The sequence below is a fragment of the Homo sapiens genome, chromosome 15 (genome assembly GCF_000001405.40).
Source record: "Homo sapiens chromosome 15, GRCh38.p14 Primary Assembly".
Classification (NCBI taxonomy): Eukaryota; Metazoa; Chordata; class Mammalia; order Primates; family Hominidae; genus Homo; species Homo sapiens.
The window spans coordinates 74,713,895-74,736,290 of record NC_000015.10 but is presented as its reverse complement, the minus strand read 5'-3'; the positions used below and the strand labels follow the sequence as shown (position 1 = coordinate 74,736,290).

The 22,396-nt window shown below is 48.6% G+C and overlaps 1 protein-coding gene across 3 annotated transcripts, besides 30 other annotated features; it reads left to right on the top strand.

Annotated features, from left to right (window-relative positions):
* Window positions 6,405-7,133: an enhancer, noted in NCBI's record as "NANOG-H3K27ac hESC enhancer chr15:75021499-75022227 (GRCh37/hg19 assembly coordinates)". NCBI's record gives its function as "activates a minimal SCP1, AML or CMV promoter by ChIP-STARR-seq in naive H9 embryonic stem cells {active_cell/tissue: H9 hESC(naive)}" and the evidence as "EXISTENCE:reporter gene assay evidence [ECO:0000049][PMID:30033119]".
* Window positions 8,926-10,300: a transcriptional cis regulatory region, noted in NCBI's record as "-1829 to -464; EcoO65I/EcoRV fragment". NCBI's record gives its function as "positive regulation of CYP1A1 and CYP1A2 promoter activity" and the evidence as "EXISTENCE:deletion mutation evidence [ECO:0005510][PMID:16505155]".
* Window positions 8,926-12,496: a biological region, named in NCBI's record as "CYP1A1 5' regulatory region". NCBI's record gives its function as "regulatory_interactions: CYP1A1 | CYP1A2".
* Window positions 9,019-10,218: an enhancer, noted in NCBI's record as "BRD4-independent group 4 enhancer chr15:75018414-75019613 (GRCh37/hg19 assembly coordinates)". NCBI's record gives its function as "activates an origin of replication core promoter dependent on BRD2, P300/CBP, MED14 and CDK7 cofactors, and independent of BRD4, by STARR-seq in HCT116 cells {active_cell/tissue: HCT116}" and the evidence as "EXISTENCE:reporter gene assay evidence [ECO:0000049][PMID:35650434]".
* Window positions 9,151-11,055: a promoter, noted in NCBI's record as "-1612/+292 promoter; PvuII fragment". NCBI's record gives the evidence for it as "EXISTENCE:reporter gene assay evidence [ECO:0000049][PMID:8442004]" and "EXISTENCE:transgenic organism evidence [ECO:0001131][PMID:15037607]".
* Window positions 9,697-9,720: an enhancer, noted in NCBI's record as "DRE6; also known as DRE-1056". NCBI's record gives its function as "TCDD-responsive enhancer" and the evidence as "EXISTENCE:reporter gene assay evidence [ECO:0000049][PMID:9874250]".
* Window positions 9,698-9,719: a protein binding site, noted in NCBI's record as "XRE". NCBI's record gives its function as "negatively regulates induction by Ahr" and the evidence as "EXISTENCE:protein binding evidence [ECO:0000024][PMID:9388470]".
* Window positions 9,698-9,719: a protein binding site, noted in NCBI's record as "DRE-1056, also known as DRE6". NCBI's record gives the evidence for it as "EXISTENCE:protein binding evidence [ECO:0000024][PMID:9102211, PMID:9388470]".
* Window positions 9,767-9,926: a silencer, noted in NCBI's record as "silent region_6656". NCBI's record gives its function as "represses an Ori minimal core promoter by ATAC-STARR-seq in GM12878 lymphoblastoid cells {active_cell/tissue: GM12878}" and the evidence as "EXISTENCE:reporter gene assay evidence [ECO:0000049][PMID:35858748]".
* Window positions 9,769-9,783: an enhancer, noted in NCBI's record as "DRE5; also known as XRE1, DRE-983, X-992". NCBI's record gives its function as "TCDD-responsive enhancer" and the evidence as "EXISTENCE:reporter gene assay evidence [ECO:0000049][PMID:9874250]".
* Window positions 9,770-9,788: a protein binding site, noted in NCBI's record as "XRE1; also known as DRE-983, X-992, DRE5". NCBI's record gives the evidence for it as "EXISTENCE:protein binding evidence [ECO:0000024][PMID:8120057, PMID:9102211]".
* Window positions 9,818-10,993: a DNaseI hypersensitive site, noted in NCBI's record as "2.4, 2.6, 2.7, 3.1 DHS region; the nucleotide coordinates are approximate for this feature". NCBI's record gives the evidence for it as "EXISTENCE:in vivo cleavage assay evidence [ECO:0001075][PMID:8382688]".
* Window positions 9,820-9,858: a protein binding site, noted in NCBI's record as "PPRE1". NCBI's record gives the evidence for it as "EXISTENCE:protein binding evidence [ECO:0000024][PMID:15521013]".
* Window positions 9,858-9,880: an enhancer, noted in NCBI's record as "DRE4". NCBI's record gives its function as "TCDD-responsive enhancer" and the evidence as "EXISTENCE:reporter gene assay evidence [ECO:0000049][PMID:9874250]".
* Window positions 9,926-10,035: a silencer, noted in NCBI's record as "NRE105; BstNI fragment". NCBI's record gives the evidence for it as "EXISTENCE:reporter gene assay evidence [ECO:0000049][PMID:8349622]".
* Window positions 9,926-10,206: a silencer, noted in NCBI's record as "NRE275; ApaI/SacII fragment". NCBI's record gives the evidence for it as "EXISTENCE:reporter gene assay evidence [ECO:0000049][PMID:8349622]".
* Window positions 9,949-9,968: a conserved region, noted in NCBI's record as "conserved region; human/mouse/rat conserved". NCBI's record gives the evidence for it as "COORDINATES:sequence alignment evidence [ECO:0000200][PMID:3409463]".
* Window positions 9,993-10,011: a conserved region, noted in NCBI's record as "conserved region; human/mouse/rat conserved". NCBI's record gives the evidence for it as "COORDINATES:sequence alignment evidence [ECO:0000200][PMID:3409463]".
* Window positions 10,031-10,206: a silencer, noted in NCBI's record as "NRE170; BstNI fragment". NCBI's record gives the evidence for it as "EXISTENCE:reporter gene assay evidence [ECO:0000049][PMID:8349622]".
* Window positions 10,107-10,186: a silencer, noted in NCBI's record as "silent region_6655". NCBI's record gives its function as "represses an Ori minimal core promoter by ATAC-STARR-seq in GM12878 lymphoblastoid cells {active_cell/tissue: GM12878}" and the evidence as "EXISTENCE:reporter gene assay evidence [ECO:0000049][PMID:35858748]".
* Window positions 10,214-10,253: a protein binding site, noted in NCBI's record as "PPRE2". NCBI's record gives the evidence for it as "EXISTENCE:protein binding evidence [ECO:0000024][PMID:15521013]".
* Window positions 10,214-10,253: a protein binding site, noted in NCBI's record as "ER8; -502 to -541". NCBI's record gives its function as "positive regulation of CYP1A1 and CYP1A2 promoter activity" and the evidence as "EXISTENCE:protein binding evidence [ECO:0000024][PMID:19682433]".
* Window positions 10,225-10,271: a protein binding site, noted in NCBI's record as "XRE-ER8". NCBI's record gives the evidence for it as "EXISTENCE:protein binding evidence [ECO:0000024][PMID:22837390]".
* Window positions 10,227-10,252: a protein binding site, noted in NCBI's record as "ER8-1". NCBI's record gives its function as "positive regulation of CYP1A1 and CYP1A2 promoter activity" and the evidence as "EXISTENCE:protein binding evidence [ECO:0000024][PMID:23041609]".
* Window positions 10,251-10,274: an enhancer, noted in NCBI's record as "DRE3, also known as X-508". NCBI's record gives its function as "TCDD-responsive enhancer" and the evidence as "EXISTENCE:reporter gene assay evidence [ECO:0000049][PMID:9874250]".
* Window positions 10,284-10,304: a protein binding site, noted in NCBI's record as "DR4; also known as ER8-2". NCBI's record gives the evidence for it as "EXISTENCE:protein binding evidence [ECO:0000024][PMID:21646728, PMID:23041609]".
* Window positions 10,293-10,308: a protein binding site, noted in NCBI's record as "RARE1 A1". NCBI's record gives the evidence for it as "EXISTENCE:protein binding evidence [ECO:0000024][PMID:8024563]".
* Window positions 10,293-10,308: a protein binding site, noted in NCBI's record as "RARE A1". NCBI's record gives the evidence for it as "EXISTENCE:protein binding evidence [ECO:0000024][PMID:8024563]".
* Window positions 10,606-10,628: a protein binding site, noted in NCBI's record as "BTE". NCBI's record gives the evidence for it as "EXISTENCE:protein binding evidence [ECO:0000024][PMID:24382322]".
* CYP1A1 (cytochrome P450 family 1 subfamily A member 1) lies at window positions 10,763-16,749 on the top strand. 3 transcript variants are annotated; one of them, NM_000499.5, is made up of 7 exons: window positions 10,763-10,850; window positions 13,168-14,018; window positions 14,574-14,700; window positions 14,788-14,877; window positions 14,969-15,092; window positions 15,238-15,324; window positions 15,517-16,749. In NM_000499.5, the coding sequence occupies exons 2-7, from the start codon at window positions 13,194-13,196 to the stop codon at window positions 15,800-15,802; spliced, it is 1,539 nt and encodes a 512-aa protein (NP_000490.1). In that variant the 5' UTR covers window positions 10,763-10,850; window positions 13,168-13,193; the 3' UTR covers window positions 15,803-16,749. The 3 variants fall into 3 exon arrangements, with proteins under 3 accessions (NP_000490.1, NP_001306146.1, NP_001306145.1); NM_001319217.2 differs by having other exon boundaries at window positions 13,165-14,018; NM_001319216.2 differs by lacking the exon at window positions 15,238-15,324 and having other exon boundaries at window positions 13,165-14,018.
* Window positions 12,096-12,496: a DNaseI hypersensitive site, noted in NCBI's record as "+0.9 DHS; the nucleotide coordinates are approximate for this feature". NCBI's record gives the evidence for it as "EXISTENCE:in vivo cleavage assay evidence [ECO:0001075][PMID:8382688]".

Sequence of the window (22,396 nt, the reverse complement as noted above, 5' to 3'; positions counted from 1 at the left end):
TCTGAATAGGCTACCTCCTTGGCAAAGACCATGGGAGCATGTATGTCTCAGTCTGTTCTCGGTTGCTATAACAGGATACCACTGACTAGGTCAGGCGTGGTGGCTCACACCTGTAATCCCAGCACTTTGGGAGGTTGAGGTAGGTGGATTACTTGAGATCAGGAGTTCCAGACCAGCCTGGCCAATATGGTGAAATCCCCGTCTCTACTGAATAAATGCAAAAATTAGCCGGGTGTGGTGGTGCATGCCTGTAATCCCAGCTATTTGGGAGGCTGAGGCAAGAGAATCACTTGAACCTGGGAGGTGGTGGTTGTAGTGAGCCGAGATCACACCATTGCACTCCAGCCTGAGTGACAGAGTGAGGCTCAATCTCAAAAACAAACAAACAAACAAACAAAACAAGCCAAAACACCAAAACACAGAGGGGGACATTACATGGTAAGAGGGCAAGAGTGTGGTGTCAGCTCAGGTCTCTCTTCCTCTTCTTATAAAGCCTCCAGTCTCATCATGGGAGTACCACCTTGATGACCTTATCTAATCTTAATTACTTCCCAAAGCCCTCACTACCTTTAATCAACATATGAATTTTGGGATTATGTTTCCAACACATGAAAATTGGGGCGCACATTCTAACCAGGGCGGAACACTTCTAGGAGCACTTGGCTGATAGAGAAGTGTCCCCAGAGGCTCTGCTTTGATTGAGGACATGAATGTTCATTATCAACAAACATCAGTGTTTATATGTAAAGAGGCATTACTAACTTGGAAACAGAGTGTTCCTCTGATCATGCCGAACATGCCCTTCAGTAGCTCAAACATTCCCCTGCAAGGCTTATTTCATAATTCATTGGCTTGGGAAACATTTGTGCAATAATAAACTGCTAACCTGAGAAGAATTAGTCAAATTCTCATCTATAATATGGACCTAAATTAATCATATTTGATGTTATTAAAGGCAGAAGAGAAAGGAAAAAGAAGATCTCCTTTCATCTCCACTGCCCTCCATCTAGGGTCAGTCCAGAAGCTCTGGGCCACCTGCTCCCCAGCTTTCTCTGGGCAGCATCCCGGAGGCTGGATCTTCATAGCCCTTCCCCACCCACCAAAACATGGAGGATTTTTGTCCCAATCCTGCTGAGAGCAGCTGCAGAGCCTGATCTCCCCTGATTACTGTGGTGTATCTGGGGTGTGTAGAGAGAAGCCATCCTGTTGGGAGGAACCTGGAGACTTTAAAATTGGAGGAGGTTGGGAAAGTCTGAGGATCATGGCCATGTGGTTGGCAGTGAGACCCAGCCCAGATGTTGGTCTTGGATAGAGTGAAGCTGGCACAAGGCAGGATGCTAAGCTAGGCCAGACCAAGATGAACTTCTTAAGGCAGGAGTGTACCTGATCACCTATCTCCTGGGAGCAAAATGATTAACGCCCATCTAGCAGGCATTAAAAAAGCATCTGAGCTGAGGGGATCCATTCAGCTGACTGTCTTGGACTTGGTGCCCTGCCTACCAGGAACCAGACTCTCACACAAGGCCTCTGCCACTTCAAATCTCGTGTATTTTCCCACTTGGGGGCCTGCCACGCTTAAATTCAATTATTTAACAACTATCTATTTAGCATCTGCTATGTGCTAGATGCTATTCGTGAAGCATTGATCACAAGAGATCAAAGTGCCTGCTCTGTTGGAGCTTACATTTTAGTTGAGGGATATAGCCTATCTGCAACATAAATACGCAAAATATACAGTATGTTTGGAGTCTCTAAGTGCTATAAAATTAAGTAGAGAGAAGGATAGAAACTATGAGTCAGGGTAACAGTTTTAGGTGGGATGGCCAAGGAAGGTAAGGAATACCTGAGACTGGGTAATTGATAAAGAAAAGAGGTGTAATTGGCTCATGGTTCTGGAGGCAGTACCAGCATGGATGCAGCATCTGCTTCCGGTGCGGGCCTCAGGAACCTTACAATCATCCCAGAAGGCAAAGCGGGTGCAAGAGAAAGCAGGAACAAGGGTAGGGGGAGGTGCCACATACTTTTAAATAATCGGATCTCACATGAACTTAGGGTGAGAACTCACTTAGCACCAAGGGGATGGTGCTAAACCATTTATGAGGATCCGACCCCATGACCCAATCACCTCCCACCAGCCCCCACCTCCAACATTGGGGATTACATTTCAACGTGAGATTTGGAGGAGACAAACATCCAAACTATATGAGAGTCTGGGCGTGGTGACTCACACCTGTAATCCCAGCACTTTGGGAGGCCGAGGAGGGTGGATCACCTGAGGTCAGGAGTTCGAGACAAGGCTGGCCAACATGGTGAAATCCCGTCTCTACTAAAAATACAAAAATTAGCTGAGCATGGTGGTGGGCACCTGTAATCCCAGCTACTCGGGAGGCTGAGGCAGGAGAATTGCTTGAACCCAGGAGGCAGAGGTTGCAGTGAGCTGAGATCATGCCACTGCAAACCCGGTGAGACTGTCTCAAAAAAACAAAAACAAAACTATAGGAGAAGGCATACTGAGAAAGTGATATTTGAGGAAGTAAGACATGAGGATTTTGGGAAAGAAGAGTTTTCTGGTAAAGGAGGTGGATGATGAGAAATTACTTAATGGGTAATTGTACAATGCTTTTGGGTACCTTAAAAGTCCTGGCCTGACCACTTTGCAATCTATGCATGTAACAAAATTGCACTTGTACCCCATATATTTGTATGAAAAATAAACAAATAAAAATTGGGGAAGGGGGAAAAGATAAATGCAAGCAAGCTTTAAAAAAAAGTTTGCTGGTGAAGGGAGGAGCAAGTGCAAAGGCCCTGGGGTAGAGCACTAGATGCTTTCCACTTGTCTCTCCAGACTCACTTTCCACCCTTCTCTGCCCACTGTCCTAGAGGGCTAACTTATGCAGGCTGCATTCATGGACTCTTTGCATCCTGGCTTCCAGTTAGGTTCCATTCATGGAAGTCACCAGCAGGACAGAGAGCACGAATGGAGCGAGGTTGGAACATGTAGGCTGTTTCTCTGCGGGTCTTTGAGCACTAGCTGTGACCCTCTACTGAAGGCCACAGCTCCTGTCTATAGCCTTTCCATAGCAACCCTCTCTGGGTTCCGTTTTCTCCTCCTTTCCCTTGTTGGCTATTTGCTTGGAGCCAAGGAGCCTCCAGCCTCCATGGTGGTGAGCTCTGCTCCCAGACTGCTGGGAGTGCAGGAGGAACTGCACAGTGACACGGCGCAGACTCAACTGATCAACAATGTCACGCACATGGCTTCTCTCACAGGAACTGTCCAGCCAACAACTTGACACCATCATGGGGTCTTCTGGAGATACAATTTGCCTCCCACAGTGGTTCGGATGGTGGCCATTTAGGTACAGAAGCAGACCAGTGGGAAGCTGCTAGATAGAAGTAACCTCTTAGGACTCTGTTCAACCTGGGTAGGTCTTCTTGGGGCCTGCAAGTACCAGGCTTTAGTCACTCAGAGAGCTCTGCCAGGTAAGGCTTCCTGGCTGGCAGGTTTGTGTTCTTGCAGTTGTAAGTCCCCCAAACCCACCTCATACTAGAAAAGAAAGAAGAGGAGGAGGAGGAGAGGGAAGAGGAGGAAGAGAATGAGGCAGGGGTGAAGAAGAAGGAAAAAGAGGGAGACAGGAAGAGAAGGGGGAGGTGATGGTGATATTGGTTTTTTAACAGGGACCTTCTATGGGTGAACTTCATTGACTTCAGGAATAACTGGATCTAGAGGCTTAATGTCTTCAATTTCCCCCCCGCTTCCTCCCCTCATCTCCCAGATCTGCTTTTCCTTGAGTAGGTATCATTCTAAGGCCGGCTTCCTTAAAAAATGACTACTGGCAGCTTCAGACTTACTTTCTAGCCAGTGTAGCCACCTCTGACAGAAGGAGAACCTCTCTTTTCCAATGATTTCATCAAAACTCCCATAGGGGGCCAGGTGTGGTGGCTCACGCCTATAATCCCAGGGAGGCCAAGGCAGGGGGGATCACCTGAGGTCAGGAGTTCAAGACCAGCCTGGCCAACTTGGTGAAACCCCGTCTCTACTAAAAATACAAAAAAAAAAAAAAAAAATTAGCTGGGTGTGGTAGCAGGCGCCTGTAATCCCAGCTACCTGGGAGGCTGAGTCAGAAGAATTGCTTGAACCCAGGAGGTGGAGTTTGCAGTGAGCCAAGATCGCACCACTGCACTCTGGCGAGCAACAGAAGGCAGGGGGTGTTGGGAAACTCCCATAGGGTTCTCATTGGCTTGGCCTGGGGTGGGTCAGCTACAGTAACCCTATGGGCTGAGAGTAGGGGTGAGGTGATCCCGAAAGGACAATTGATGTGGTATTGCCAAAAGAAGGGAGAACAGATGCTGGGCCCCCAAAACCCACCCATGCCCACCATCACTGGGGTGACTATATAACTTATTATCATCTAAGCCAGGATCTTTTGAGAGTGAAAGAGGGCACTTTTAACAATTCTTCCATGACAACAGGCTTAGACTGTCCTGGGAAAATACTGTCATCCTAACTATAGCAGCCAAGAGCCAGGGAGCCAAGAGCTGCCCCATCTGAGCCCTGTATCCTGCAAACTCAATCTATCTGGCTCTCTGGGCACAGGCAGGAGAGGAAGGGAAGATGCTCAGGCTCAGATCTCAGTAGGAGAAGGGGATGACTGGGTGGGGAGAGGACACATTGGGAGACAAGTCCCAGTTCTCCACATCCACCCAAACTGCCTCACCCCGACCTCCCACTACTATCTGTTGTTCACATTGTGTCTCTTCCCCATGCTAGGAATGCCCTTCCTATGCTCCTTAGACTCCAGGGGCCTTCTCTAGTTCTCCACTCTCCGGGGAGCATCCCTTTAACACCCCTCCTGCCCCAGCCTCCTCACAGCTCCTGCAGCATCTCCAGACTCATCACAGGACTTGTCTAGGGTATGACTCCCATCTCTACCATGGGGCAGGGGTTTGCTGTGGATCTTGCTTGTCTTCCAGTCCCCTTTGCCCACAGCCTTCAGCAGGGCTCACTGAAAGCCCTAGGCTGATGATTTTGCTGGGCTAAGGCCTCTCAGCTGTCTCGATCTCTCCAGCCCAGAGCCCTTTCCCCTCCCCAGCACTTCTGCCCCTGCTCCTGGTATTGATCACTAGGGAATCCTAGCCAAAGAGCTTCTCACGCAAAGGCATGCAAACTTTGACCCAGGAATGAGTGTTCAGCTCCAGGCCAAGGTCCTCTAACCTCCTGCCTGACTCCCTCCTTCTCTGCCCAGTGCTCAGTGTGGGCCCCCTTCCTGTTATTGTGAACTGTTAGCCAAGATACGGCTTGGTGATGAGAAGTGCAACATCTCTTGTAACCCCAGTGCACCAGTCCAGGGGTGTGGAGAGGTGAGGGGCCCTGGCCCAGGGGCTGAGTCTGTCTACCTTTGGCCCCCTGGGGCTTCACTCATAGTCTGGGATGATAAGTTATGGTGAGACGGGCCCTGGCCTAGAAGCAAGAAGCTGGAGTTCTAGGCTCTGCTTTGATTTGCCATGCGTACTTGGGCCTTTTCTTTTCTGGCACCCATCTCTCCACCTAAGAAGTGAGAGACGAATTGGTTTTATTAGCTAATGAGTTTTTGAGGAGTCAAGAGCCTCTTAGATAATGCAAGCAAAGCAACGCACTTTCTATCAAGAGAAGGGTCCCTGGTTGGGAGCCCTAGCACTAGTTGGTCTTCCAGCCCTGGTGACCAGGCTGCCATGATTCTCCAGCGCTGGGGCATTGGTGGGGACCCTGGGAAGCTGAAGAAGAGGTTGTGCTGCAGAGCATGTTGGAGGATCTAGGAGTGCCTTGCTTTCCACTTCCTTGCCATGGCTTCCACACAGGCTCGTTCTCTGTGGCTCTAGCTCCAACTAGGATTGAAGGACAGACCTCTCTTGGGTACCATGAAGCTCCTCAGACTGAATCAAAGATGCAGAGAGTAGAATAATTGGAAGGGTGCTGAGAAAGCCCAGCAATACCTCCCTTGTCTCCTGCCTGTTCTGTTGCCTAAATTCCACCATTATAGCATGAGCACTTTGGATTCAACATCTCTCTTGCCATTTGGCCTGTGTATAGTATAGCTGTGTCTAATTCCTTTACCAGTTATTAATATCTTGCCTGGACTTGGCTTATCAGATCAATTTCCTGCAGGTTGGTTTTCCTTGTTAGAGCATACGGAAAGAAGTGGCAGGTTGGGTCGGGGCTATAGCAAGTATCCAGTGTCCTAAGAATTACCGTGGAGAAGTGCTGGAAACAGCGACCAGGAGAAACATAATTTTCTGGGGGGAGAATCCAGGAAGGCATCCCAGAGGAAGTGATGTTTTATCTGAGACTCAAGGTAGGGGACACTAGAACTAGAGGCAGGCAGGCCTGGTAGGTTCTGCTAAAGATACTTTTTTTTTTTTTTTCAAGAGTGCAGGATGGATTTATTGCTCGTGGTTTGAGGAGGCTTCAAGCATGTCCTTATTTTTTTTTTTTTTTTTATTGATCATTCTTGGGTGTTTCTCGCAGAGGGGTATTTGGCAGGGTCATAGGACAATAGTGGAGGGAAGGTCAGCAGATAAACAAGTGAAAAAAGGTCTCTGGTTTTCCTAGGCAGAGGACCCTGCGGCCTTCCGCAGTGTTTGTGTCCCTGGGTACTTGAGATTAGGGAGTGGTGATGACTCTTAACGAGCATGCTGCCTTCAAGCATCTGTTTAACAAAGCACAACTTGCACTGCCCTTAATCCCTTTAACCCTGAGTGGACACAGCACATGTTTCAGAGGGCACAGGGTTGGGGGTAAGGTCACAGATCAACAGGATCACAAGGCAGAAGAATTTTTCTTAGTACAGAACAAAATGAAGAGTCTCCCATGTCTACCTCTTTCTACACAGACACGGCAACCATCCGATTTCTCAATCTTTTCCCCGCTTTTCCCCTCTTTCTATTCCACAAAACCGCCATTGTCATCATGGCCCGTTCTCAATGAGCTGTTGGGTACACCTCCCAGATGGGGTGGTGGCCGGGCAGAGGGGCTCCTCACTTCCCAGTAGGGGCGGCCGGGCAGAGGCGCCCCTCACCTCCCGGACGAGGCGGCTGGCCGGGCGGGGGGCTGACCCCCCCACCTCCCTCCCGGACAGGGCGGCTGGCCGGGCGGGGGGCTGACCCCCCCACCTCCCTCCCGGACGGGGCGGCTGGCCTGGCGGGGGCTGACCCCCACCTCCCTCCCGGACGGGGTGGCTGCCGGGCGGAGACGCTCCTCACTTCCCAGACGGGGTGGCTGCCGGGCGGAGGGGCTCCTCACTTCTCAGACGGGGCGGTTGCCAGGCGGAGGGTCTCCTTGATTCTCAGACGGGGCGGCCGGGCAGAGACGCTCCTCACCTCCCAGACGGGGTCGCGGCTGGGTAGAGGCGCTCCTCACATCCCAGACGGGGCAGCAGGGCAAAGGCGCTCCCCACATCTCAGACGATGGGCTGCCGGGCAGAGACGCTCCTCACTTCCTAGATGGGATGGCGGTGGGGCAGAGACGCTCCTCACTTTCCAGACTGGGCAGCCAGGCAGAGGGGCTCCTCACGTCCCAGACGATGGGCGGCCAGGCAGAGACGCTCCTCACTTCCCAGACGGGGTGGCGGCCGGGCAGAGGCTGCAATCTCGGCACTTTGGGAGGCCAAGGCAGGCGGGTGGGAGGTGGAGGTTGTAGCGAGCCGAGATCACGCCACTGCGCTCCAGCCTGGGCACCATTGAGCACTGAGTGAACCAGAATCCGTCTGCAATCCCGGCACCTCGGGAGGCCGAGGCTGGCGGATCACTCCCTGTTAGGAGCTGGAGACCAGCCCGGCCAACACAGCGAAACCCCGTCTCCACCAAAAAAATACGAAAACCAGTCAGGCGTGGCGGCGCGCGCCTGCAATCGCAGGCACTCGGCAGGCTGAGGCAGGAGAATCAGGCAGGGAGGTTGCAGTGAGCCGAGATGGCAGCAGTACAGTCCAGCTTTGGCTCGGCATCAGAGGGAGACCGTGGAAAGAGGGGACAGGGAGAGGGAGGGAGAGGGAGAGGGAGAGGGAGAGGGAGAGCTGCTAAAGATTCTTATTCCTGCCTTCAGAGTGGTGGGAGCTACCAAAGAAATTTAAGCAAGGTGGTGATGGAATGAGATTTTGCATTTTTGACAGGACCACTCTGGGTGCCACAGGATGGAGAAGTAATTGGACGGAGCAAAAGGCAAATGGGAACCTAGGTGGAGGCTAAGTGCTCCAGGGAGCAATGATGGGCCCTGGATGAGTTGTGGCAGTGGAGCTGGACAGATGCCAAAGCAGATGCCAAGCAGAGAAATGTGCCTCCTATTCTTAGCACAGTAGCCCGAGTGACCTTGCTTCTCTTACACCCCAGCCATGTCTCTATCTCGCACAGAGGAAGTCTCATGTCTCTCAATGGGGTGCTCCCTGCACATGCGGCAGGGCGCTGTGCCTCATGGGCATCCCATCCCCCTGGACTACATGCCAGGAGAACTCCCCAGTCACATGACCTCTGCACATCCCTGGTACTGCTCGGTCCTTCAAGAACCACTGTGGTGGGGGGTGGCGGGAGGCTTTGATTTTGCTTATTCCCTCTGCCAGTTGCAGTCTTTTATTTGAGATGGAGTCTCGCTCTGTCACCCAGGCTGGAGTGCAGTGGCGTGATCTCAGCTCACTGCAACATCTGCCTCCCAGGTTCAAGCAATTCTCCTGCCTGACTCCACTCCCCCCAAACCCCCCTCACCGCCCCAGTATCTGGGATTACAGGTGAGCAACACCATGCCCGGCTAATTTTTGTATTTTTGATAGAGATGGGGTTTTGCCATATTGGCCAGGCTGGTCTTGAACTCCTGACCTCAGGCGATCCTCCCGACTCGGCCTTCCAAAGTCCTGGGATTACAGGCGTGAGCCACCGCACCTGCCCAGGTACACTTTTTATCCAGATATCTATGCACATTGATTCTTGACTCCACACTCCTGCCTCTCTCCGCAAGGCCTTCCCTGACCCCCTTGTTTTGAATTGCAATCTGCCCTCACATAATCCGTACGCCTTTTCTGTTTAATTTTTTTCAACCGCACTTTTTACCCTCTCACATTCTCTAGATTTGGGGCATATTACTTGTCTCCTTCCATCAGAATGTAAACTCCACGAGATTAGGAGTGCTGTCAGCTGTGTTCCCTTCTCTGTCAATCGCCAGCGCCTCCGAACAGCTCCTGGCACATAGTAGTTGCTTGGTAAATATTTGTGCAATGCACGAGGCCGCATATGACCGGAATGGGAGGTGAGGGGATTATTTTCTGGCCTGGACCAGCGACGGATGGTGGTGCCACCGGGTTGGGGAGCACGTCGGGGATGGCGCGTAACGATGTTAGCTGGGGCCAGGTTGAGCTAGGCACGCAAATACAACTTTTTTTTTCCTGGAAACCCTGTAACAGGAAGGTTCCGGAGGGCGGGACAGCGTCGGAGGCAGGCAGCTAGGCCATGCCAAATGGCACTGGGGCTTCGTGTCGTGCCACAGGCGTGGACCGAAAATGCGGACACATGCAGGCTGCCTCTCCTCGCAGGCAGAAGCCACACGCAGACCTAGACCCTTTGCACCGCATCCCCTTATTCAATCGCGCACCCGCCACCCTTCGACAGTTCCTCTCCCTCCACCCCAACCCCACGCCGCGCGCGAGGCTGGCCCTTTAAGAGCCCCGCCCCGACTCCCTCCCCCCTCGCGTGACTGCGAGCCCCCGCGCCGGGCCGGGGAATGGGTCGGCTGGGTGGCTGCGCGGGCCTCCGGTCCTTCTCACGCAACGCCTGGGCACCGCGCCTCCGGGCCAGGTGGGGCGGGGACGGGCCGCCTGACCTCTGCCCCCTAGAGGGATGTCGCCGGCGCACGCAAGCTAGCCGGGGGTAGGGTGGGGGCTCCGCGCCAGGTGCCCCCTCCGTGGTCCCTGGGCCCGAGTCTTTCCGTGGCCCCCCGCCGCCGGATTTCTGTGCTCTGCCAATCAAAGCACTAGCCACCCCGGGAGCCAAGAGGGACCCTCAAGGGCCGGTGGGTCCTGGCTGGAGGGACCGCGCGTTGCAATCAGCACTAAGGCGATCCTAGAGGCTGCGAGGAGCCGCTAGTGAGCGCTCAGCGAGCCTGCCCCTTCGCCATCCATTCCGATCCTTCAATCAAGAGGCGCGAACCTCAGCTAGTCGCCCGGGCTCTGGGGGACAGGTCCAGCCCCGCGGCGCCTCTGGCCTTCCGGCCCCCGTGACCTCAGGGCTGGGGTCGCAGCGCTTCTCACGCGAGCCGGGACTCAGTAACCCCGGGAAGGAGGTCACCACGGGGCAGCCCCGCCCCCGCCTGCCGAGTCCTGGTAGGCTGTAGCGCTGGGGAGGCATCTGCACGCCCAGCGTTCCAGTGGGTGCAAAAATGACGAAGAGGAGTCCCCGCGCCCCAGGATGGAGCTTCCCGTACCCTCTCTTCGGGCTGTCCTGGGACTTCTCCCTCAAGCCCCCTCCTCGGCTGGGTTCTGCACTGCCCTTGGGACGCCTTGGAATTGGGACTTCCAGGTGTTCCCAGCCCTCACCCCTCTATGTACAGGCACCGAGATGTGTCCCATAGTGGGTTCTTGCCCACCCGACCCCCCACCCCCGCCGCCCTCCGCCACCTTTCTCTCCAATCCCAGAGAGACCAGCCCGGTTCAGGCTGCTTCTCCCTCCATCTCAGCTCGCTCCAGGGAAGGAGGCGTGGCCACACGTACAAGCCCGCCTATAAAGGTGGCAGTGCCTTCACCCTCACCCTGAAGGTGACAGTTCCTTGGAACCTTCCCTGATCCTTGTGATCCCAGGCTCCAAGAGTCCACCCTTCCCAGCTCAGCTCAGTACCTCAGGTGAGTTGCTGGGGGACTTCTGGCTTGCCCTTTCTCTCCCAATAAAAGGAACATTTTGGTGCCTCCAGGACTTCTTAGGTAGCTACCTGTCTAGCACCTCCAAAAAGGGAGGCTCAGAGTGTTTTTAGTGACCAGGCAGTCTAGCCCCCTAGTGGGGAAACTGAGGCCAGGGGAAGAGGAGGACTTGCCCATGGTCCCACAGCTGGTACCAGACCTCTAGATACAGATGGCATCTCATTCAGGACTTCAGGACCCAGGCTCCAGCTCCATCCCCTAGTGAGTGTCTCCCTGCCTACCCTGGGGCTTCCCCATCAAGGCCACCTGGCAGGCTGGAATATGTGCAGCCCCTCCCTCAGGCTTTCTGATGACAGGGGCTTCTCCTTGGGTGGACAGGGTGGATGGAGGGGGTGGGCTGGGTTCTTACCAGCTGTACCCTGCCCTAGCCTAAGAAGCTACCCCTGGCAGATTTTACCCTCCTAAGGGTGGCTTGTCAGTGCTGAGATGTCCTAGACAGCTGGGACAATAGAGGCAGATCTGTGCAGGAGTCCCAGGCCTTTCCTATCTCATTGACCATCTTCTTTGTCCTTTGCTGGGAGACAATCAGGGTGACAGATTGCCAACTGCAGGGAGCTGGAAATACCAGTCCCTAAAAACTCACCAGTCACATCTCCCTTGGCCTCCTACCATCTTACAAAGGCTGCAGGTCCTTGGGATACCCACTGTGCAGAAGGGGACACCATAGCACACCAAAGCCTGGCACTGTCCCCTGTTGACTCAGGGATCTAGTGTGCTTTGATATTTAGCCCCTCCAGGAAGCCTCCCTCCACTATAATACTTGTGGTAGGAACCATCCATCTCCCTGTCTTGTGAGGTTCTCCTGTGGGGAGCCTAACTGGTAAGACTGTCAGGTTCCCCACAGCAGATCTGGGTTTTCTCTTCCCTCTGGATCCAGCTGGGTACTCTGAACTGAGAGATCTTGTCTTACCCTCTCTCAGATGTTGAAATTGGACCCCAGAAAAGTAAAATGTGCAGTCCAAGATCACTTTGACTAGAATGTTGGGTCTACTGACCTCTAGTCCAGGGTAACAGGCAGAGATGCCTGATATGTTGGAGAGAGTGGTTTATGAATTTAAACACCCTTTTTAGGTCAAGCTTACAGAGAAAGTATTGCCTCAGTTTCCTTTCAGTTTAGATCCATTCCTGATTTCCCTGATTCCAGTCTGGGGTTTTCTTACAGCCTAGTGGGAACCTTCCATTTATTCTCTGCTCTCTGGTAACCTGCAAAAGGGGGAGGTCCAAACTGTTCATTCATTGAGAATTGAGCCAAAAAAAAACCCTGGCCTGGATTTCTCTGACTAAAGAGCTCAATCTAGCTGGTCTCCAGCTGCCTTTAAACTGTGGATCAGTTGAACTCAGAGAGCTGGGGCTGAAAGCAATGTGGTTTGGGAAGTGGCCATCCTGTCCCCTATCTCTTCCTCAGTCTGTCCTGGGGTCTGGTGGGATTTCCTGCATCCTGGGATTGAGCAGCAGAGAACTGAGGGTTCTGGGAAAATTCCTTCATTGATCTGACCACTCTTCAAAAGGAGGTACATGTGACAGCAGCTGGAAATTTCCAGGGAAGTGTCCCTAAGGAGTCTGAGTCCTGGCTCTGTCACTGATTGCTGGGGGACTTTGGACAAGTCAGCGCTGCTTCCCCCAAATGTTAAATGAGGCTAAAGGATCAGATGATCCCTAATTCCCCTGAGAACATGATTTTCCTAAGTGTGGTGGGTAGGACTCGGGGTGATACACCTTGATTATGTGTTTATTTTAATGTGTTAGGGGAAAAATCAAACTTGTACTTTCACATAGATATTGTTTATGATGATATGTAGGTAGATTTAAAGTTGATTTTAGGAAAATGTGAAGTAAATAACAGTACTGGTACTATGTGGAAATCACAGATTGACATTGGAAGATGTCAGTTTAGATTGGTACAGCAGTTAAGAGAAAGCGTTCTGGAATTAGGCAACTTGGCTTGGGAGTCTGCATCCAACACTTTCTGGCTGTGTGACCTTGGGCAAGTTACTTACCTTCTCTGAGCCTCATTGCAGGCTACTTCATAGATTTGTGGCCAGGGCTGAATGAAGAAGGACTGTGAAATTCTTAGCCCACAGTGGTAGTTCAACAACTTCTCCCCACCTCACCCTCTTCTTCATGCCCAGTAAGCAGTTCTGGTGGAAAGGTTTCCCCTTTCCCTGACACTCTAGATATTGGCTTTTCTCATCCCCCAATCTGACGGCTTGACTTTTTTTCTTCCTGCACCTTCTCTCAGCAGCCACCTCCAAGATCCCTACACTGATCATGCTTTTCCCAATCTCCATGTCGGCCACGGAGTTTCTTCTGGCCTCTGTCATCTTCTGTCTGGTATTCTGGGTAATCAGGGCCTCAAGACCTCAGGTCCCCAAAGGCCTGAAGAATCCACCAGGGCCATGGGGCTGGCCTCTGATTGGGCACATGCTGACCCTGGGAAAGAACCCGCACCTGGCACTGTCAAGGATGAGCCAGCAGTATGGGGACGTGCTGCAGATCCGAATTGGCTCCACACCCGTGGTGGTGCTGAGCGGCCTGGACACCATCCGGCAGGCCCTGGTGCGGCAGGGCGATGATTTCAAGGGCCGGCCCGACCTCTACACCTTCACCCTCATCAGTAATGGTCAGAGCATGTCCTTCAGCCCAGACTCTGGACCAGTGTGGGCTGCCCGCCGGCGCCTGGCCCAGAATGGCCTGAAAAGTTTCTCCATTGCCTCTGACCCAGCCTCCTCAACCTCCTGCTACCTGGAAGAGCATGTGAGCAAGGAGGCTGAGGTCCTGATAAGCACGTTGCAGGAGCTGATGGCAGGGCCTGGGCACTTTAACCCCTACAGGTATGTGGTGGTATCAGTGACCAATGTCATCTGTGCCATTTGCTTTGGCCGGCGCTATGACCACAACCACCAAGAACTGCTTAGCCTAGTCAACCTGAATAATAATTTCGGGGAGGTGGTTGGCTCTGGAAACCCAGCTGACTTCATCCCTATTCTTCGCTACCTACCCAACCCTTCCCTGAATGCCTTCAAGGACCTGAATGAGAAGTTCTACAGCTTCATGCAGAAGATGGTCAAGGAGCACTACAAAACCTTTGAGAAGGTACAGTCTGGGGAAAGGCAGGTGGGTGGTGGGAAGCAGATGGCATCAGGGCCTGGGAGGTCAAAGGTAAGAGGAACTGCATGGGGCTTGGCAAGTTCTCAGGAAGGCTTCAACCTGGGATCTTGAAGCCAGTTGTGGAATAGTCTTCTTCCTTGGCAGGGAAATAGAACTTTATCTTGACTAACCCTTCCATGCTTCCACAGACAGCAATAGCCACTGAAGAGTCATTACATGCAGGACCCTGGGGCAGTTGCTGAGGGAGCCAGGAAGAGTTAAAGAGTTCATCTCCTGGCCTCATAATAGAAAGAAGATAAAGAGCACATCCAGATGATAACAGTACAAGACGCTGTGTGTCAAATGTCCCATGAGTTGGGGCTAGCAGCATTCTAAGGTAGTAGGAGAGAGCCTTGCAGAGGCAGAGAGAAGCTGGGACAACAGCCTCAGGGGGCATCACCTCCAGAACAAATGTGCTAGGAATAGTGAAGGACCAGACCTGGATGGAGAGGTAGCTCTGGGTTTGAGATCTTGCTCACCTGTGGACTTTCCCTACCTAAGGGCCACATCCGGGACATCACAGACAGCCTGATTGAGCACTGTCAGGAGAAGCAGCTGGATGAGAACGCCAATGTCCAGCTGTCAGATGAGAAGATCATTAACATCGTCTTGGACCTCTTTGGAGCTGGTATGGTTACCCCATTGTGTCCTTCCTGTGCTCAAGTGCCCTGACCTGCTGCTGCCTGCCTAACTTCTTCTGTTCTACCCTGTCCAGGGTTTGACACAGTCACAACTGCTATCTCCTGGAGCCTCATGTATTTGGTGATGAACCCCAGGGTACAGAGAAAGATCCAAGAGGAGCTAGGTAGGTAGTGGCTCCCTTCAAAGGGGTCAGTGCCAGGGGTCTGGCCAGGTCTAGGCAGCCCCTGCATCCATCTTGTCCCTGTGTTCTGCAGACACAGTGATTGGCAGGTCACGGCGGCCCCGGCTCTCTGACAGATCCCATCTGCCCTATATGGAGGCCTTCATCCTGGAGACCTTCCGACACTCTTCCTTCGTCCCCTTCACCATCCCCCACAGGTAAGGCCCCATGGAGCCACTGCTGTCTGTTACTGATCTTACTCCGGACCACATACCTGATTAGGGTTAGTGGGAGGGACACGGCATGGGAGACAGGGAGATTTGCCTGTTGCCCTGAGCCTGACTGAGCTTCCTTTCTCCCTAGCACAACAAGAGACACAAGTTTGAAAGGCTTTTACATCCCCAAGGGGCGTTGTGTCTTTGTAAACCAGTGGCAGATCAACCATGACCAGTAAGTTCAGAGATGCAGAGGAAAGGCTGGGTCCACCCTCTTAAGCTCTTATATATGATTAATACAATCATTGCATTGATCCTCCTGTCCATGGGCTGCTTGCCTGTCCTCTATCCTTTGGGGCTGGAGCTCCACTCACTTGACACTTCTGAGCCCTGAACTGCCACTTCAGCTGTCTCCCTCTGGTTACAGGAAGCTATGGGTCAACCCATCTGAGTTCCTACCTGAACGGTTTCTCACCCCTGATGGTGCTATCGACAAGGTGTTAAGTGAGAAGGTGATTATCTTTGGCATGGGCAAGCGGAAGTGTATCGGTGAGACCATTGCCCGCTGGGAGGTCTTTCTCTTCCTGGCTATCCTGCTGCAACGGGTGGAATTCAGCGTGCCACTGGGCGTGAAGGTGGACATGACCCCCATCTATGGGCTAACCATGAAGCATGCCTGCTGTGAGCACTTCCAAATGCAGCTGCGCTCTTAGGTGCTTGAGAGCCCTGAGGCCTAGACTCTGTCTACCTGGTCTGGTTGGGCAGCCAGACCAGCAGGCTGGCCTATGTGGTCTAAGGTTCAGCCTGAAACTCATAGACACTGATCTGGCTGCAGTTTTGCTATCTGGGCTGTGGGCAAGCCTAAGGGATCCTGCCTGCCCCTACCCTGGACTTGCCTCTGCACACCCTCCAGAGACAACAGGTAAAACAGGGCCACATAGATGCTGATGGAGCCTTCCCAAGTTGTGCTTGAGCCAGGAGGCCTGCTAGGGTTAGGAGGTCCTTAGGCCTCTGAGAAGCTCTGAAGAACTCTCTGGAAGCCCCTGGGCCCAGTACCTAGCTGGCTCTGTGAGGGTGCTGACTGGCTTCAGCAAGTTAGAACTAGCCAAACCAGGACCCTGTCCAATCTTTGACAATTGGGAGCTGCCAAGAGTGAAGGGAAGAGACAGCCCAGGATACTGGCACAGAGGTAGTCTCACTGCTTGAACTAGGCTGAGCAATCTGACCCTATGGGTCTAGGACACAGTTCCTGGGAACATCACATTCCTCTGCCCTTCCTGCAGGCAGGAACAAACAGGGCTGCCTTCTGGCCTTGTAAGACCCTTATTGCTGTCCTGGAGGGGCTGGGGACTTGTGTCTGCGGGGATCAGAGCGCACAGGGAGTGCACATATCCAGGCACCAGGACTAGGGCTGGAGTGAGGGGGGGGTATTTCAATTACCTTCTATTGGTCTCCCTTCTCTACACTCTTGTAATAAAATGTCTATTTTTAATGTTTGTACACAACAATCCTTCTATTCTAGCCTGCATTGAGCTTGCATGCTTGCATAAGAGCTTAAGAACCATTGATTTAATGTAATAGGGAAAATTCTAACCCAGGTATCCAAAAATGTGTAAGAACAACTACCTGAGCTAAATAAAGATATTGTTCAGAAATCCTATAGGTGGAGATTTTTTGAATCATAAATGATTCATCACTCGTCTAAATACTCACCCTGAACCCCATTCTGTGTTGGGTTTTACTGTAGGGAGGAAGAAGAGGAGGTAGCAGTGAAGAGGTGTAGCCGCTGCACTTAAGCAGTCTGTTTGAGGGACAAGACTCTATTTTTTGAGACAGGGTCCCCAGGTCATCCAGGCTGGAGTGCACTGGTACCATTTTGTTTCACTGTAACCTCCACCTCCTGGGCTCACACGATTCTCCCACCTCAGCCTCTGAGTAGTTGGGGCCGCAGGCACACGCCACCACAGCTTTTTTTTTTTTTTTTTTTTTTTTTTGTAGAGATGGGGTTTCACCATGTTGCCCAGGCTGGTCTCAAACTCCTGAGCTCAAGTGATCCACCTGCCTCAGCCTCCCAAAGTGCTGGGATTACAGGCATGAGACAAGACTCCTAATCACTGTGCTGACTTACGCCCTCTCTAACTTATCACAAATTGATGAAGCGTATTCTCCGAATTAGGCAATAAGGGTATCAAGTGAATATAGTACAGTCCCTGCTTTCAAGAACCTCCCAAAATGGTTGAGGGAACTGACACATAAACACATCATTCAATTCATTGTGGTCAGAACTCTACCAGACAGATGCATACGGGAGGTGGGGTCCAGAGGCTGGGTTGGGGAGTGGGCACCGCGAGATTTCCAGGTCTTTTTTTTTTTGAGACGGAGTCTCACTGTGTCGCCCAGGCTGGAGTGCAGTGGCGCGATCTCGGCTCACTGCAAGCTCTGCCTCCGGCGTTCACACCATTCTCCTGCCTCAGCCTCCCAAGTAGCCGGGACTACAGGCGCCTGCCACCACACCCGGCTAATTTTTTTGTATTTTTAGTAGAGATGGGGTTTCACCATGTTAGCCAGGATGGTCTCGATCTCCTGACCTCCTGATCCGCCCACCTCGGCCTCCCAAAGTGCTGGGATTACAGGCGTGAGCCACCACGCCCGGCTCCAGGTCTTGAGACTATCTGAGCCAAGCCTTCCTTGAAGGATGAGAGACAGTCTTTCATTTGGGACTGATAGCATTAGATGCTGAAGTCCAAGTGGGTAGGCTCTGGTCACAGTTTTGTGGGGAGAGGGGTTCTCAGCTCAGCAGTTGTAATCTGCTGCTCACTCTTCATGCCCTGGCGTGGGTTCTACAATCACATTAGAACCCACATCTCAATGCTGAAAGCCCCTGTCCATCTGAGATGGCAGAGTGGTGGTGATGCCAAGTATGGCAGAGGCTGAACCCACATAGCCAGGAGCTGAAGGGAGACACACCTTGGGATGTGACCTCCCTACCCCACCCCAGACCAGCTTTCTTCCTGAAGCATTGCGTAGTGGCCAGCAGTTGCTGTTCATGCACCGTGGCTCCCGCTCACCAGGAGCTTCAGGCTACTGCAAGGAACAACCAAGCTGAAGTCAGCTGCGGCAACCTGCTTTGTGCAGCGGCGGCCGGGGGGATGAGAAATTTGGTGCTCAATCATTCTTGTAGTGATTTATATTTTCTACTTAAACTATAACTTGCATTTATGCTATATACATAAACAAGCCATGAAAGCATGCTACGTGAAAGAAGCCAGACACAAAAGGCCGTGTATTGTATGACTCCATGTGTATGAAAAGTTCAGAATAGGTAAATTTATAGGGACAGAAAGTAGATGAGAGGTTGCCAGGGAATGTGGGGCAGGGAGAATTGGGAGATGCAGAGTTTACTTAGGGGTGATGGAAATATTCTAGAATTAGATAGTGGTGATGGTTGAACAGCTTTGTGAATATACTAAAAACCAGTGACTTATGCAGTTCAAAATGGCTTAAATGGTAGAAAAAAGGCCTGGCGCAGTGGCTCACGCCTGTAATCCCAGCATTTTGGGAGGCTGAGGTGGGTGGATCACTTGAGGCCAGGAGTTTGAGACCAGCCTGGGCAACAAGGGGAAACCCCGTCTCTACCAAAAATACAAAAATTAGCTGGGTGTGGTGGCACACGCCTGTAATACCAGCTACTCAGGAGGCCGAGGCACGAGAATCGCTTGAACCCAGGAAGTGGCGGTTACAGTAAGCTGAGATCACACCACTGCACTCCAGCCTGGACAATATAGCAAGAATCTGTCTCAAAAAAAAATCAAGAATTTATTCTACCTGTCCTATATGAACTATACCTAAAAAGAACCAAATAGATTAGAAAGAAGTATCTCTTAAAAATACTCCAGCTGGGCACAGTGGCTCATGCCTGTAATCCCAGCACTTTGGGAGGCCGAGATCACCTGAGGACAGGAGTTCGAGACCAGCCTGGCCAACATGGTGAAACCGTCTCTACTAAAAATACAAAAATTAGCCAGGCGTGGTGGCGGGCGCCTGTAATGCCAGCTACTCAGGAAGCTGAGACAGGAGAATCACTTGAACCCGGGAGGCAGAGGTTGCAGTGAGCCGAGATCACGCCACTGCACTCCAACCTGGACAACAAAGATCGAAACTCCGTCTCGAAAAAAAAAAAATTCAATTATTATGTGAAAAAGAAATTATAGAATTAGTGTCATTATTTTGTAGTCACCAATAAATTAATAGATCTAAACATTGTGCCTAACAACTGCTGACATCATAAAAGGAGAGAAAATCAGACATCATGTGACTCCTGATGAAAGAACACAACAGCACCTATAGTGTTGTCAAAGGGATTGCATCAGAGGCTGACCAAGCCTCCGGAACCAGCAGCCAATATGCAATAAATACAGAGGATGTAGGGACGTGAATTGCAACATGAATGTGCAGTCAGTAAAATTCAGACTTTGGAAGACTGTGGGTCAAAAGGCCTGGGTTCTTCAACAGAAAATCTATAAGGAAAAGAAAGGGATGGAGGGAAAACTTGTAGATGAAAAGAAACTATAAAAAGACATCAAATTGCTTGAACCCAAATTTTAAGAAATGAGCAACAATAAACTATAGTGTCCAGGGATACACACTTAGTGATGAAACTGTAAAGAACAGGGAAATGATTACTACAAGAGTTTGGGGAGTGGTTACTTTTTGGGAGAGGGAGTGGGTGATAATTGAAATGGGACATGTGGAGGGCCTCTGGGATAGCTGATAAAGTTCTATTCCTTGACCCAGTGTGGTTACAAAAATGTTTGCTTTATAAAAACGAAGAAAAACATATAAATAGCTTGTATTGCTTTTTGCTTTTGAGAAATATAATTAATATATATTGTCAATGCCCTCCAGTCAAGGGCCACCAGGAAAACACCTGTAGTTAAACAAGTTGGATTTATTACTCATTGCAGTGGGGAACCATGGGGTATCTCGACAAGAGGGTTTTGAAAAGACTGATTATATATAATACATATATAATTGGCTCTCATGAGCCAATACCTCAAAATAAATCTCTTTATATATATAATATATATCTTTATAGGTATTATATATAACATATCTTTATATGTAATATATAATATATATCTTTAGATGTATTATATATAACATCTTTATATGTATTATATATAATATATATCTTTATATGTATTATATATTATATATCTTTATATGTATTATATTTAATATATATTTATATGTATTATATTTAATATATATTTTATATATTATATATCTTTATATATAATATATAATGTATAATATATAATATAATATGTAACATATCTTTATATAATATATATGTTCATATTCTTTTTCCATTTATAAATATATATCTTTATGTATAATATATTATATATATTATATATCGATATATTATATATACTATATATCTTTTACATAATATATCTTCATATATTATATATGATATATATCTTTATATATAATAATCTGTATATAATATATAATATCTCTTTATATGTATATAAAGAGCTCATGTAATATCTCTTTATATGTATATAAGAGCTCATGAGATTATGGAGGCTGAGACAGTCCATAATTTGTCATCTGCAAGCTGGAGACCCAAAAAAACCAGTGGTGTGTTTCAAAGGCCTGAGAGCTGAAGAGTTGATGGTTTAGATTCCATTCCAGGTCTGAAGGCCCAAGAACGAGAGCACCATGGACAGAAGAACCATGTCCAAATTCAAAGGGTCAGGCAGAGTTCACTCAACCTTCTTCTGCCTTTTGTTCTATTCAGGTTCTCAACAGATGCCCACCCACATTGGGGAGGGCCACCTCCTTTACTCAGTCCACCAATTCAAATGCTAATTTCTTCTGGAAACACCCTCACAGACACAGCCAGAAATAGTGTTTAACCAGCTATTTGGGCATCTTGTGGCCCAGTCAAGTTTACACATAAAATTAACCATCACACCCGCTGTTAGAGCCATTCAGAATCCTCTGTGCATACCCAGTGCATATATATATATATATATATATATATATATATATATATATATAATGTATATGGAGGGGTGTGTGTGTGTGTGTATATTATATATAATATATATATGAACAGCTGAAACATTTTGGGGAAAGACTGTATTTCCAAACTAATGCAGGTATCTGCTGCTCAGCAAATTTAATATGTTCAGCATCTTTCAGTTGGGCTCCTTATCTTATTAACAGTTTGGAAGTTTCACCAAAATGAAAGCCCCACATAGTGACAACTGCAAGGGACCCTCAATTCTTGAGTACTCAGCTCTGTCCTGTCGTATGCTCTTCACTGATAGTCTTCTAGTTCTGCTGCTGGGATAGTATGTGTCAAGGACAATAGCAAGCTTCAAATATTTCCATTGACTTCTCATTGCTTTCTCTCTCTCTCTATCTCTCTCTCTATATATAATATATATATACACATATATAATATATATTATATATACACATATATAATATATATTATATATACACATATATAATATATATTATATATACACATATATAATATATATTATATATACACATATATAATATATATTATATATACACATATATAATATATATTATATATACACATATATAATATATACACATATATAATATATATAATATATACACATATATAATATATATAATATATACACATATATAATATATATAATATATACACATATATTATATATATTATATATACACATATATTATATATATTATATATACACATATATTATATATATTATATATACACATATATAATATATACACATATATACACATATATAATATATACACATATATAATATACATAATATTTACACATATATAATATACATTATATATACACATATATAATATACATTATATATACACATATATAATATACATTATATATACACATATATAATATACATTATATATACACATATATTATATATGTAATATATACACATATATATGTAATATATACACACATATGTATATATTATATACATACACATATATAATATATATTATATACATACACATATATAATATATATTATATACATACACATATATAATATATATTATATACATACACATATATAATATATATTATATACATACACATATATAATATATATTATATACATACACATATATAATATATATTATATACATACACATATATAATATATATTATATACATACACATATATAATATATATTATATACATACACATATATAATATATATTATATACATACACATATATAA